The sequence below is a fragment of the Homo sapiens genome, chromosome 1 (assembly GCF_000001405.40).
Source record: "Homo sapiens chromosome 1, GRCh38.p14 Primary Assembly".
Taxonomy (NCBI): Eukaryota; Metazoa; Chordata; class Mammalia; order Primates; family Hominidae; genus Homo; species Homo sapiens.
This window is the reverse complement of record NC_000001.11, coordinates 18330814-18344892: the sequence shown is the minus strand read 5'-3', so window position 1 is coordinate 18344892 and position 14079 is coordinate 18330814. Positions and strand designations below refer to the sequence as shown.

Here is a 14079-nt window from a genome sequence, read left to right as displayed (position 1 = left end):
GTGGCCACAGTAATCGCCTGGAGCCAGTTAATGTAATTAGCCCAAGTCTGGCAGGTGGTTCATCCACTCAGGCTCTAAGACAGAGGAAGGAGCTGATCATTTTCCACCCAGCAGACATCCTGGGAAAGGAGGTAGCTGAGGCTCTGAATCTTGCCTTTCTGGGGATTTCCCAGGGATCTCAGACTGGCAGCCTCCCTCCACTGACCTACCCTGCCCCTTGGACCACCATACACACCATTGTATGGCGGCTTTGCTTGGAAGAAGCCCCACTTCCCCCACAGCTGTCCTGTGCACAGACAGCCTTCTTGAAAGGGGATTCTGCAAACTGAACTCTGCTTTCCCATTGCTGTCCCCCAGAGAAGCAGAGTGGTGTTACTTCTGTTTTGCTCAGGCCTACAGGAGATCAGCAGACCTCTGAGAGGGGTGAGGTCTGCCCTCAGCCCTCAGATCTCCTTAGCTCACTTGGAGGTATAGTGTATTCTTCTTCCCAAGTCAAAAGAGGTTCTTCCAGCCTGACCAACAGAGTGAGACCCTGTGTCTACAAAAATTTTTAAAAATTAGCCAGGCATGGTGGCACACACCTATAGTCCCAGCTACTAGGGAGGCTGAGGCAGGAGGATTGCTTGAGCCTGGGAGGTTGAGGCTGCAGTGAGCTATGGTTGCACCACTGCACTCCAGCCTGGGTGACAGAGTGGAAAAGAAAAGAGAGAAGTTCTTGGCACTCTGATTATTGGTCCTGGAAATTTGCTTCTTTTTCCAGAGGGGAGTGCCAGGCTGGGATTCCAGAGAATCACGTTCAAGAATCTGGTCTTAGAAAGCAAGAATCCAGCTCTCCAGAAATCCAAGGTTCTGGCTGGGCCTCCTGGAAGTAGACTCAGCCTTCATTACCCCCAGGACCTTCTGTACCCTCTTTTCCTCTGGGAACCCTCACCAGTCCCAGGGTAAGTTTCTTTTAAGGGGAAAGGTCGAGAAACTGAACAGGAGAGCTTCCTGTGAAACTCATTGCCTAAAGTCACATAGCTGGAGAGTAACAGCCAGGCTGGAGGTGGCAGATGGTTAGAAAAGCACCAGACGTGCACAGGGATAGACATATAGAGCAGTGAAACAGAATGGAGAGTCTGGAAATAAACTCGCACTTTCACAGTCAATTGATTTTCGACAAGGATGCCAAGATAATTCAATGGGGATAGAATAGTGTGTTCGACAAATGGTGCTGGGACAACCAGACATCCACATGCAAATGATGAAGTTGGACCCCTCCCTCACACCATATATAAAAATAAACTTGAAATGCATCATCAACTTAACTGTAAGAGCTAAAACTATACAAACTCCTAGAAGAGAAATACAGGAGTAAGTTGTGAGATTGAGTTAGGCAAAGCCTCCTTAAATAGACACGAAAAGCACAAGTGACAAAAGAAAAAATAGATAAACTGGATTTCATTGACATTAAAACATTTTGTCCTTCAAAGGACACCATGGAGAAAGTAAAAAGACAATCTACACAATGGGAGAAAAATATGCAGATGATACACCTGATAAGGGACTTACATGTAGGTCAGATAGAGAACTCTTACAACTCAATCATAAAAAGAAAAATAAGGCCATTGAAAATGACCAAAGGCTCTGAGTAGATGTTTCTCCAAAGAAGATGTCCAAATGGCCAAGAAGCACAGGAAAGGACGTACAGTGTCATTGGCCCTGAGGGAAATGCCAATCAAAGCCACAAAGAGACATCACTCCACATTCACTAGGATCCACTAGGATGGCTATATTCAAAAAGAGAGATAGTAACAAGTGTCGACAAAGATGTGGAGAAGTTGGGACTCATATGCAGTTGGTGGGAATATAACACAGTGCAGCCACTGTGGAAAACTGTCTGGAAGCTTCTCAGAAATTTAAATGCAGAGTCATTGTTTGACTCAGCAGTTCTACTCCAAGGATACATACCCAAGAGAACTGAAACTACACATTCACACAAAAACTTGCACGTGAATGTTTATAGCAGCATTGTTCATAATAGCCAAAAAGTGGAAACAACCCAGATTTCCATCCACTGAGGAATGCATAAACAAAACGCGATCTATCCATATGAAGGAATATTATTCAGCATTGAAAATGAATGAAGTACTGGTACCTGCTACAATATGGATGAACCTTGAAGACATTATGCAAAGCGAAAGAAACTAGCCACAAAAGACCACATATTGTATAATCTCATTCATATTAAATATCCAGAACCAGCAAATCTATAGAGACAGAAAGGGTGTTTGTGGCTGCCTATGACTGAGGAGAAGAGGGACAATGTGGGGTGGTGTGTAACTGCTGATGGGTACAGGGTTTCTTTGGAGGACGATGAAAATGTTCTAAAATTGATTGTGGTGGTAGAGGCACAACTCTGTGAATATGGTAAAACCACTGTTTTTTACACTTTACATGAGCGGATTGCATGTTATAGGAATTGTATCTCAATAAAACCATATTTTAGAAAAACCAAAGGGCCGGGCTTGGTGGCTCATGCCTGTAATCCCAGCACTTTGGGGGGCCGAGGCGGGAGGATCACTTGAGGTCAGGAGTTCAAGACCAGCCTAGCCAACATGGAGAAACCTCGTCTCGACTAAAACTAGAAAAATTAGCCAGGCATGGTGGTGTATGTCTGTAACCCCAGTTACTTGGGAGGCTGAGGCAGGAGAATCTCTTGAGCCTTGGAGGCAGAGGCTGCAGTGAGTTGAGATCATGCCACTGCACTCCAGCCTGGGGGACAGAGCAAGACTGTCTCAAGACAAAACAAAACAAAACAGAGCAAACAAACAAACAAACAAACAAAAAAAAAAAAAACAAGGAAAATGCACCAGGCACACTTAATAAAAATCAGTAGAACATACTGAAAAAAGACAAACCAACCAGAAACGTCATGTAAAGTTCATTAACATCTGTTCTTTGGGGTGGAAGCTGTGTTTCCTGGCTCCAGACTTGCAAAGCATATGGTGTGGTTTGTTGCCACTCTGGCCTCAGGTTCCAAAAGTCTACTTCATCTGCCAACCTCACTTGGAAGCTTCCAGAAGAGAGACAAGGATCCCAAGATAGAACATTTTATTAATGTGTACCAATACTTTATGAGTCTGGGCTTCCTACTCATTGGTAAACTTCTGGAGGAGCAGAGATGTTAACATGCAGGATGGCTATATACCCCTGCCCTGCCACACACTGGCTGGGTGATGTAGGGAAGTGACATTACCTCTCAATTTCTTCATCTGCTAAAGAGAAAGTGATAGTACTCACCTTGCAGAGCTTTTGTGAGTGTTCAGTGAGTTAACACAAGAAGAGTTTAGCACAGCGCCTGCATATTAGTCAGTGCCCAACGAAGGGTGACCCACGGGGTTGGGAGCAGAGAGTGTCAGCTTCAGAGTCAGACAGGGAATCTTGGTGTGCTACATCCTGACTCAGTTACTGCTGTGGGTTGAATTATGTCCCTGAAGATGATGTGTTGAAGTTCTGACCCACAGTCCGTATAAATGTAACCTTATTTGGAAATAGGGTCCTTGCAATTGTGCTAAAGGTAAGATGAGGTCACACTGGATTAGGGTGAGTCCTAATTCAATGACTGATGTCCTTATAAGGAGCAAATCTGTTGAGGTGGGCACAGTGTCTCATGCCTGTAGCACTTTGGGAGGCCAAGGTGAGTGCATTGCTTGAACTCAGGCATTTGAGGCCACCCTGGGCAACAGAGCAAGACTGTCTCACACACACAAAAAAAAAAAAGAGAAGAAGAAGGAGAAGGAGGGGGAGGAGGAGAAGGAGGAGGAGGAGGAGGAGAAGAAGAAGAAGAAGAAGAGGAAGAGGAAGAGGAAGAAGAAGAAGAAGAAGAAGAAGAAGAAGAGAAGAAGGAGGAGGAGGAGAAGAAGAAGGAGAAGAAGAAGGAGAAGAAGGAGGGGGAGGGGGAGGAGGACGGAGAAGAGGAGGAAAGAAGAAAGAAGGAGAAGGAGAAGGAGAAGAAGCAGAAGCAGGGGCAGAAGCAGAAGCAAATCTGAACACAGGGACAGGAACACAGAGCCAGAGAGAGAAGGCCATATGATGAGAGAGGCAGAGATCGGTGTGATGCATCTATAAGCCAGGGAACTCCAAGGATTGCCAGCAACACCAGAGGCAAGCAGAGGGACAAGGAAGGATTTTTCCCTTGCATGGGGAGCATGGCCCTACTGACACCTTGATTTCAGGCTTCTAGGACTAACACTGTGAGACAATACATTGCTGTGGTTTTAAGCCACCCAGTTTGCAGCAATTTGCTATGGGAAGCCCCAGAAACTAGTTTCGTCCTCTGTACCATGAAGCTATTTCCCTTAGAGAATGTGAGTCCAGGGAGCAAGGACCTTGTCTTATTGTCAGTGTATCCACAGCACCTAGAATTGTGCCTGGCACCTGGGGAATGCTCAGTAAGTCACTGAATCACTGACATGAATGAATGAAGTCCATATAGCTCACCTCTTTTGAATGTTACCTTCTCAGAGAGGCCACGTTGACCTAGAACAGCCCCATCCCTGATGGGTTTTTCCTGACATTGCTTTACCACCCACTGACATCCCATTTGTCTCCCCATCTCTTCACTTGCTCATCTTCTGCCTCCCCTATTGCACTGTCTGTGAGGACCAGTTTTTTGTTTGTTTGGTTTTTTTTTTGTCCTCCTTGTTCATTGGAAACTCCAGTGCACACAACAGTGCCTGCAATGTACTAGGTGCTCAATAAATATATGTTAAATGAATGAACACACAAATGAATAAATGCAAATTAGAATGTCCATGTACGTGGGCATCCAAGTCACCTTATAATATATTTGAACAAAAAAGACATTCTGATATGCTGTTTTACCAGAAAGGAAACTCAATACTAGACCGTCCATGTCAAAAGTAGACACTAATTGGGATTTGGACCCAGGTCTGCTGGACTCCAAGTTCAGTGCTCCTTTCAGAGGGTTTGAGAAGTGGGGGAGGTGCTGGATAGCAGTGGATGAGAGAACCAAAAATGGGGATGGGGACAGGAAGGGAGGCAAGGGCACAGACATTCTGTGTTCCTTCCAGACTCCTACATGTTCCGAAAGGCAAACAGCCCCACCCATCCATCGGAATTCGTTGTTGTTGTTTGGTTTTATTGGTTTGGTTTTGTTTCATTTTTGGAGACAGGGTCTCACTGTTGCCCAGGCTAGAAAGCAGTGGCGTGATCTCAGCTCACTGCAGCCTTTACCTCCCAGGCTCAAGTAATCCTCCCACCTCAGCCTCCTGAGTAGCTGGGACTACAGGCACATACCACCACAGCCCAGCTAATGTTTTGTAGAAACGGGATTTCGCCAGGTTGCCCAGGCTGGGCTAGAACTCCTGGGCTCAAGAGATCCACCCACCTCAGCCTCCGGAAGTACTGGGATTAGACATGTGAGCCACCATGCCAGGACCATCGGAGTTTTTGAGCCACCTAGTTAGGGCTCGGTCTCAAGGAAGTCCCCACTCCCTGCACTCTGTCTCCACTCCAGTGCTTGTTTGAGGTTTGTGTGACTCATGGCCTTTGGGTCAAGGGGAGGGAAATTTCCTTTGGGAGTTAAGGCTGCTGTATAAGTACGTGCTCTGGGCTCAGGCAGACCAGGTGGGACGCCCCGCTCCTGCCCACCCTGCTCTGTGACTCACGTGGATGTACCCCTTAAACTCTCGGAGCCTCTGCTCCGTCATCCGTAAAATGGGGATGACCAGGCCCACATCCAAGGGCTTTTGTGAGGTATTAACTGTGGGTTGAACACTGAGCTCAATGCTGGCACGCGGAGGGTGGCCTTGCTTTTTAGCTTTGGGTTGAAAGGGCCCCACTCGGTGGCAGAGAAACCCTGCCCCTTGGCATTCCAGAGGAGCCAGAAGTGCAGAGTCTTTTAACTTCGGTGGGGATGGGAGTGGGGTGCCTGGCTCTCACAACATCTAATTGATTGTAACAGCGCACCCTTAACACGCTCCCTCCCCCCTAACCTGCACCCCCAGAAGAACCTTCAAAATCCTTCCATGACTGTGTATAATGCGTTCCTGGGGCCCAGCACGCAACTTTCAAATTGGCTTACAATTTATCTGCAGCTCGGATAAAAACATTTTAATGACCGTGTGCAGCATACACCCTTGGTGTCACCCACGGGACTCCCAAATGTCTTTCCCCACCACACAGTGGGATGTTATAGGCGTGAAATTACAGCTGCACTCGCGTTTTCATCTTCACCCGGAGGCCTCTGGAAATGGCCGCGTTAGAATGTGCTGGATGTGGACGTGTGGATGGTAGACTGGGGTGCTGGGCTTTCTGGTGGAACTGCTCTGTGCTTTGAGGCAGGTGGGCCCTGGGCCGTCCCCAGCTCCTCGGCTCTCCTTCTCCCCACTGTCCTGGGAGCTTCCCATTGACCTCCAAACTGGGGAGGGTCTGTCTTGCCCCAGTTTGGCTGCAGTGGCCCTTAGGGTCCCGTGTGGCACAAAAGAGACCCCAATGTTCAGTGACCTCTGCTCGTTTGAAGAGAGGGTCTTTGTGTGTGAATGCAATGCCACAGATGAACCAAAGCAATGAGTCGATTTTAATTTTTGAAACCTGCCCTGAAACATATTTGAAGGAGACGTTCACAGAGATTGGTCTAATTGTGCCTGGTTTGTAACTGACCCGACTACTATTTGTCATTAAGAGATACTATTTATTGATCATCCAGAATGTGCCAAGCCTCAGGCCCAGAACATTCTGTTCTATAGATTATCTCCTTTAACCCTCCAACCTCGGCCAAGTCCCATGCCCCTCTGAGCCAGGTCTGTGCAATGGGCTTATTGTGGTGCCTGCCTCCCAGGCCCATGTGGTCGATGGGTTACAGGAGATGCTGTATGAGAAACACTCAGCCACGCCGCCTCCCCCGGCCCTCCCCTCACCATTCAGGACCTTGGTGAGCTACAGAAGCCACGCTCCTCTGGCACAGAGATAACCCCCACCCTATAAGGCCTGGAGCAAATTCATTCCCTTCCCTGGGTCTCAGTCTCTTCATCTGTGAGTTAGAGATAATAGTAATCCCCCACGCGCCGATCTGCAGTGAGGATTGGATGATGTCCTCAATGTGAAAGCCCCTCTGAAATTGCTCAGATTGGGCAAGTGTGGGGCATTGCCATCATTATGACAGTTGGGATATATCCTGGCTCCTTCCATAGGTGCATGGTGCCAGGACACGCAGACCTTTGGGGAAGAAGCCCAGAGAAGGTGAGTAAGGAGAGACCCCTGTCTCTGCCACTCCCAGAGACACACCCTGGCTTCCAGGTTGCCACGGTGCGTGAAGCTGTGTTCCCAGAGCAGTCATTCCTCAGACTAGTGCAGGGCTCTTTGGAGCTGTGAATGGGGGACTTCTCTTTGCTGGGGCCAAAACCAGGGGCAAGAGGGAGGCAGACACAGTTGTGCCCAGGAGTGGGCACATCAGAGACAGTGATAATAAAAACAACAGTGTCCAAGTAACTGAGCTCTTCAATGATATTCTTGATGAGGTAGGCGTTCTGCAAACTTTATCTACTTTAAGCCTCACAGCCACCCTAGGAGGGAAGCATCCTTATCCCTGTTTTACAGATGGGGAAATTGAGGCCCACAGGAGCACACTCCCTTGCTCAGCAGAGACCATCAGGCCAGTTGTGCAACCTGAGTGAGTCCCACGAGATCACTCTGTGCCTCAGTTTCCTCACCTAGTGGATGGAGTAAGGGACTCAGAAGTGTCAGAGCTGGGAGGGAGTGTAGGATGGTCTGGTCAACCCTCTGATGATACATGATATGGTTTGGCTGTGTCCCAACTCAAATCTCATCTTATACTGTAGCTCCCACAATTCCCATGTGTTGTAGGAGGGACCTAGTGGGAGATAACTGAATCATAGGGGTCGGTCTTTCCTGTGCTATTTCTCATGATAGTGAATAAGTCTCACAAGATCTGATGATTTCATAAAGGGGAGTTTCCCTGCACAAGTTCTCTTGTCTTCCACCATGTGAGATGTGTCTTTCACCTTCCACCGCGATTGTGAGGCCTCCCTAGCCACGTGGAACTGTGATTCCATTAAACCTCTTTCTTTTGCAAATTGCCCAGTCTTGGGTATGTCTTTATCAGCAACATGAAAATGGACTAATACAGTACAGATGGGGGAAATTGAGGCCACAGTAGGAGAATAACCTGCTCAGGGTTCTTTGGTGAAGTAATAGGAAGTGTGGGCCTCATGGAGGGATGGTTTTTAAGGACTCTGGCCTTGCTTGAAGGCACCTTAGATTGAGGCCTTAGCGCAGTGTCTTCACTGCCTCCAGCAATGCGACAGAGCTGGCCTTGGAGTCAAGATGCCTGGGTCCTGGCCCAACACTGAGCTGCCTGATATCATAGGAGGATTTTGTGATCTTGGCTGTGTGACTTTAGGCAAGTTGCTTGCTTTCTCTGTGATCCATTTCTGCATCTGCAAAATGGACTTAATGCTAGCACGTACCCTTGGATTGGTTGTGAGGACTAAATGACATAACACATGTAAAGCACTCAGCCCAATAGCTGCAGAGGGGCCTTCCCTGAGTCCCCTCCCTATGCTAGCAGCCACCCACCTGCAGTCACTCTTTATCCCTTTACTCTGCTTTATTTCCTTCCAGCATGTTGCAGGCTCTTTTTGATTCATCTATGCATGTGTTTTATGCTTGTCTCCTGCAAAATCTCTACAGATAAGCATTTTTCCTATAAAAAGTTTGGGTCCATTCCCGGCCACCTCATAGGTAGGTGCTCAGTACATTGTGATGCATAAATGATTGGTTAAGTACATGTCTCTCATCAGACTTGGAGTTCCTTGATGGTGCAAACTGAGTTCTGTCCCTCCTAGGTTCCCTGGTGTGGCCAACCCAGGGCCAGGCACCCAAACGCTGCTAGTTCCTTTATCAGAGGAGCTGAGTGGTGCATGAGTAACTGCGAGAGAGGGGCTTTTCCTGGCAATGCCACCTCCTGCATTGTGGCTCCATCGGGAAGCCAGAACCACCACGGGTGTGCTGCAGGAATCAATGTCCCTCTGGAGGTCTGGCCTTTGGAGGTTTTCAATTTCCCCAGAAGCGGCGGCTTTCAGCAGGGCCTTTATGCTTTCATCGATTGCCTGTGTACCGCAAGCTTTGTTTCCCTGATACGTATTATTTGATAAGAAAACCGGAGAACACAGAGTCTGGAGTCAAGGCCAAGTCCCCAGCATCCTTGCAATAGAGCCAGAATCCAAAGGTGTGTATCTGACAAGAACATTAGAGCCAGTGGGGGCTTCTGAGAACGTGCAGAGCAGCATTCTTGTTTTACACATGGGAAAACTGAGTCTGGGATGGGGATAGACTTACCCAAGGACCCAGCCAGCTAGAGACAGACACCAGTATTATTACCTCCATTTTACATGTGCATAAATGGAGGCATGGGGAGAGGGTGAGAACCCAGGAGCTCTGAATCCCAGCCATGAGCGCTTTCTAATTCATCTCCAGATCCTATGCCCTCTCCATTAAGGCCTCAGGAGGTGCAGGAGAATCTTTTGGCTGAGGGGCAGAATAGTTCCCTCTGCAGCAGGTGTGCATCTCGGCTGAGGTGCTATCCTTCACTCCCTGGGGAGGGTCCTGTTGGGGTACCTGTGCTGAGAAGGGGACCTCCTGAGGGGAGGCCCATGGGGGGCAAGACTTCACGGGTCACACCTTGGCTCAGCTTGGTCTGGTTGCCCCTCCACAACAAGAGCAGGAAAGGGAAGACACCAGCACAACAGAACTTCTGGTGGATGGCCCCCAGGATGGCCACTCTGTGCGCACATTCACACACTCAAGCATACTCGTCCTCCTCACTGAGACACCAGGGGCCAGTGGCCCTGCACTCACCCATGACGTTGAGGAAGATGTTGCCTGATGCCAGGACCACCTTCTCCCTGGTGGCGCGGTCGTAGATGCCCACATGGCACTCATAGGGACCATTGTCTGAGATCCGGACCTCGGGCAGCCTGGGGGAGGCAGAAGACAGGGTGAGGGCCCTTCATCGTGGGGCTGGGTGAGGCAGCGTTCAAGGAAACTCATCCTGATGCCCACTGGTGCAGCCTCCACTAACAAACACAGGCCTGTGTGCTGGGCTGGGAGGAGGGGAGCATTTATGGAACACCGACTGTATGCAGACCCTGTGCTCGGCATCTCAGACAGTGAAGGTGTGGACTGTGTTCAGCCAGAGCCCAATTTGTGCTCAGTGGGTCCTGGAGCAGTTATTTAGCCTGTTGGCTTCCATGAGCCTGGGATGGTGCCCACTTCCAGGGAGCCGTGAGGATGGCACAGGTGAAGAGGTATGGGCATTTAGTATGTCGCTGCATGCAGTATGGGACCAAAACTGTCACTGGAGGCATCGGCTCCCTCTTTCCTCATGACGGCCTCCACATAGGGTCCATATTCCCATTTCATAAACAAGGAAACTGAGGCTCAGGACGGAACTCAATTGCTAATAAGAACCAGTATGGAAATTTGAATTTCTCTCTCCATGCCGCCATGCTGCCACTTCATGCCCAGTCCTGAGATCATGGAAGAGAAAGACAATAAAATTCAGGTCCCAAAGGAGCCCCCATCCCAGTAGACAAGGAGGTAGAGAAGCTGATCTGGGTTCCACACTCACATGGAAAAGCGTGAGCTTATCTGAGCTCAGGTTGGGGAGCAGCCACTTCCACCTCTGAGGTAGTTGGGAGGGTGTCTCAGAAGAGGTGATCCCTAAGGATGGGAGAGACCCCCTCAAACCTGCTTTCAGTCTTTTCTCCTAAAAGTCCAGAGAGTAAATATTTTAGGCTTTCTTGCCCTTTACAATTGCAATTCAACCCTGTCCTTGCAGCACAAAAGCAGCTACAATCGGTGTGTAAACAAATTGGTGCAACTGTGCTCCAATAAAACTTTACTTATGATCATTTAAATTTGAATTTCACATAATTTTCATTTGCCATACAATATCCTTCTTCTGTTTTTTTCTCCAACCATTTCAAAGTATAAAAAGCATTCTCAGTTCACAAGTTGTAAAAAAATAGGCGATGAGCTAGATTTGGCCTGCAGGCTGTAGTTGGATGGCTCCTGTTCTGGATCTTTCCATAGCATCTATAGGGTCAGACCATGTGAAAATGAGTTGGTATGTTGCTCTGTCTCCCCATGGAAAATGCAAGCAGGGAGGCTCTTTCCTCCCTTCTATATTGAAAAGAGCCTTGACATGGAGTCAAAGAGAACCAGGTTCCAATTCTGCTCCTACTGTTTGTAAATCATGGGACCTTGGCTAAGTCAGTCCATCTCTCCTGGAGACTCCATTTTCTTTCCTAAACAGTGGAGATGCTACTTCCTGTGACTGCAGTGAAGATTAAATGCAATGATGTCCCTGCAGGACTTTTGTAAGCAGGAACATTGCACCAAATGGATAGAGGGGCCATTTTGTGTTTTTCCTGGGTCCTGCGAAGCTCTGTGGGGAGAGCGAATTCCTGGCAAGTGGAATCTGGACACTTGGATGGGAAGGAGCCTTGGCCTGGAGTTGCAGAGGCTATGTCATTGCTGCATTGGGGAAATATGTCTGTCTTCATGCGAGTTCCAGCCTATTCTGGCTACAACTTAGAGGGACTGGGGTTCTGTTTAAGTCTTAGAAGTTCTCAAGTCATAGCAGAAAACTATGGGAAGGGATCCATACCCATGGACTTACCTGACTAACCTGCCTGACAAGGACCCCACTGGGGACACAAAAGAGCAGCAGTTGGTTGGCGCTCAGGCTCTTGGGCGTGTGACCCATCTGCCACCCCTGAGAATGGAGGTTCTTTCAATCCAGTTCTTATCCTCCCTTCAGCCTCCTGGACACACTTCCCACTTTGCTCTCCCACCTGCTTTTGCAGAGCAACATAACCTCAGCTTCGCTCTTTTCTTCTCTCCTTTTAGCTACCTGCTCCATCTTCGTCTTCTGGCTCCTTTTCCCCTGTGACTCACTGTCCCCCCACACCTGGGCTGCCAGCCTCTTTTTCCATCACTGTCGTCTTAGTGAGCTGAGCCAGCCCATCCCTCCCACCACCCAGCACACATTAGCATAAACAAACACCTTCATTTACATAGAACACACAGAGGTTGACATCTGGTCTACCGACTGTCATGGAAGGACTTAAAGAATGGGAAGCTTTTCATCAGGGGGACTTTGTTGAGAAGACGCCGTCCCCCTCCACTCCCTGATCTCAGAATAAAGAGCGCAGTGACATGGGAACAGCAGGGGACCAGTCTCCCCTCTGGGAATGATTTTCTTTGTTTGTAACTCAGCTAGACTGAAAAAATAGCCTCTCTACCAGGCGCCATTACTGAGTGACAGTCACCTGGAGTGACATATTTTAGATAAAAAAAAAAAAAAGAGACTCAGAGAGAGATGGCATGACTTACCCAAGACCCCATGGCTTACAAACAGTAGGAGCAGAATTTGCACTTGGTGACACTCATAGGTGTTGGTTATAAAGACAACCTGCTTAAATGACTTTTGTAGGTGAAAGGAGTTCAGGTGGCAGGTTCAGGTGACAGCTCTGTAAAGAAACAGGCTCAGGAGACATGTGTAGCTGGCAGCTCTCCAGGTGAGGTAATAAGATAATAATAACATGGTTGACACCCAGGCAGATACGTGCAGGTAACCACCACCTAGGTGATGGCTGCAGAAGATGTGTTTATAGGATAGCGACACAGGTGTCATGTTTAGGCAACTGCTACCCTGATGACATGCTCAGGTGATAGTAACGTAAGCAATATGCTTGGGTGACACATGTAGGTGACATCTCACAGGTGGTATAGAAGACAGCTCGGGGTACACCGGGATTGCTGCTTTATGAAAAAGGCAGCTTCTCACTGAGGACTATGTGTACAGCCCCAGATGCTCCTTCTACCATCGATTGAAGGAGCAAGCCCAGGTTCCCTAGTTCCTTGAATGTCCAGACCTGTCCTCCACCATTAGCCCAAGGCACACTCTTGGGCACCCTCCTTGACATCTCCCACTTCCACACCCTCCAAATACAGACAGCGACCAAGTCCTGGGTGTTCTACTCCTAATAGATCCTGAACTATCCACTTCCCTCCATCTCCACAGTCAGCATCTCTTCTCACCTGGAATATGGAGGCAGAGGTTTACTGGGCTTTCTATCCCTGGTAATCTCCCTCCTGATCCATTCTCCAGGTAGAATCTAGATCTTTTCAAATGCAAATGAGATGAATGGTACTCCCTTACCTAAGTCCCAACAAAGGCTCTCTCTGCTTTTATGACAAAGACATTATATGAAAAGGATACTTGCACACGCATGTTTATAGCAGCACAATTTGCAATTGCAAAAATACGGAACCAGCTCAAATGCCCATTAATCAATGAGTGGATTAAAAAACTGTGGTATATATCTATACCGTGGAATACTATTCAGCCATAAAAAGGAACAAAATAATGGCATTCACAGCAACCTGGATGGAATTGGAGACCCCTATTCTAAGGGAAGTAACTCAAGAACGGAAAACCAAACATTGTATGTTCTCATGCATAAGTGGGAGCTAAGCTAGGAGGATGCAAAGGCATAAGAATGATACAATAAACTTTGGGAATTTGGGGGAAAAGGTGGGAGGGGGTGAGAGATAAAAGACTACAAATTGGGATAGGGCATACTGCTCGGGTGATGGGCGCACCTAAATCTCACAAATCACCACTAAAGAACTTATGTAACCAAACACTACCTGTTCCCCAATAACCTATGGAAATAAAATAAAATAAAATGGAGAATATAAAAATCTCCTAAATAGAAATAAAACTGTAAATCTTAAAATATGAAACAGCAATATCAATTCGATAAAAATATTTCAAAAGGTAGTAACATGTGCCAAAACCTAGTAAATGCAGAACACCAGAAGTGAACCCTACTGTGAACTACGGATTTCGGGTGGTAACGATGTATCCATGTAGGTTAATTGATGGTAACAAATGTGTCACTGAAGTGTAGGAAGTCAATGGTGGCAGAGGTTGTACATGTGTGGGACAGGGGCAGGTGGGAACTTTCTGTACTTTCTGCTCAG

At 47.8% G+C, this 14079-nt stretch overlaps 1 protein-coding gene across 4 annotated transcripts in view; it reads right to left on the bottom strand.

Moving 5' to 3' along the window:
• The window catches only part of IGSF21 (immunoglobin superfamily member 21), a 270686-nt gene that overhangs the window by 33591 nt on the left and 223016 nt on the right, over positions 1–14079 (bottom strand). For all 4 annotated transcript variants that reach the window (NM_032880.5, XM_011542319.4, XM_017002604.3 and 1 more), the window contains one exon: positions 9883–10001. In NM_032880.5, the coding sequence (NP_116269.3) occupies positions 9883–10001 (119 nt within the window). The remainder of the gene's footprint in view (positions 1–9882; positions 10002–14079) is intronic.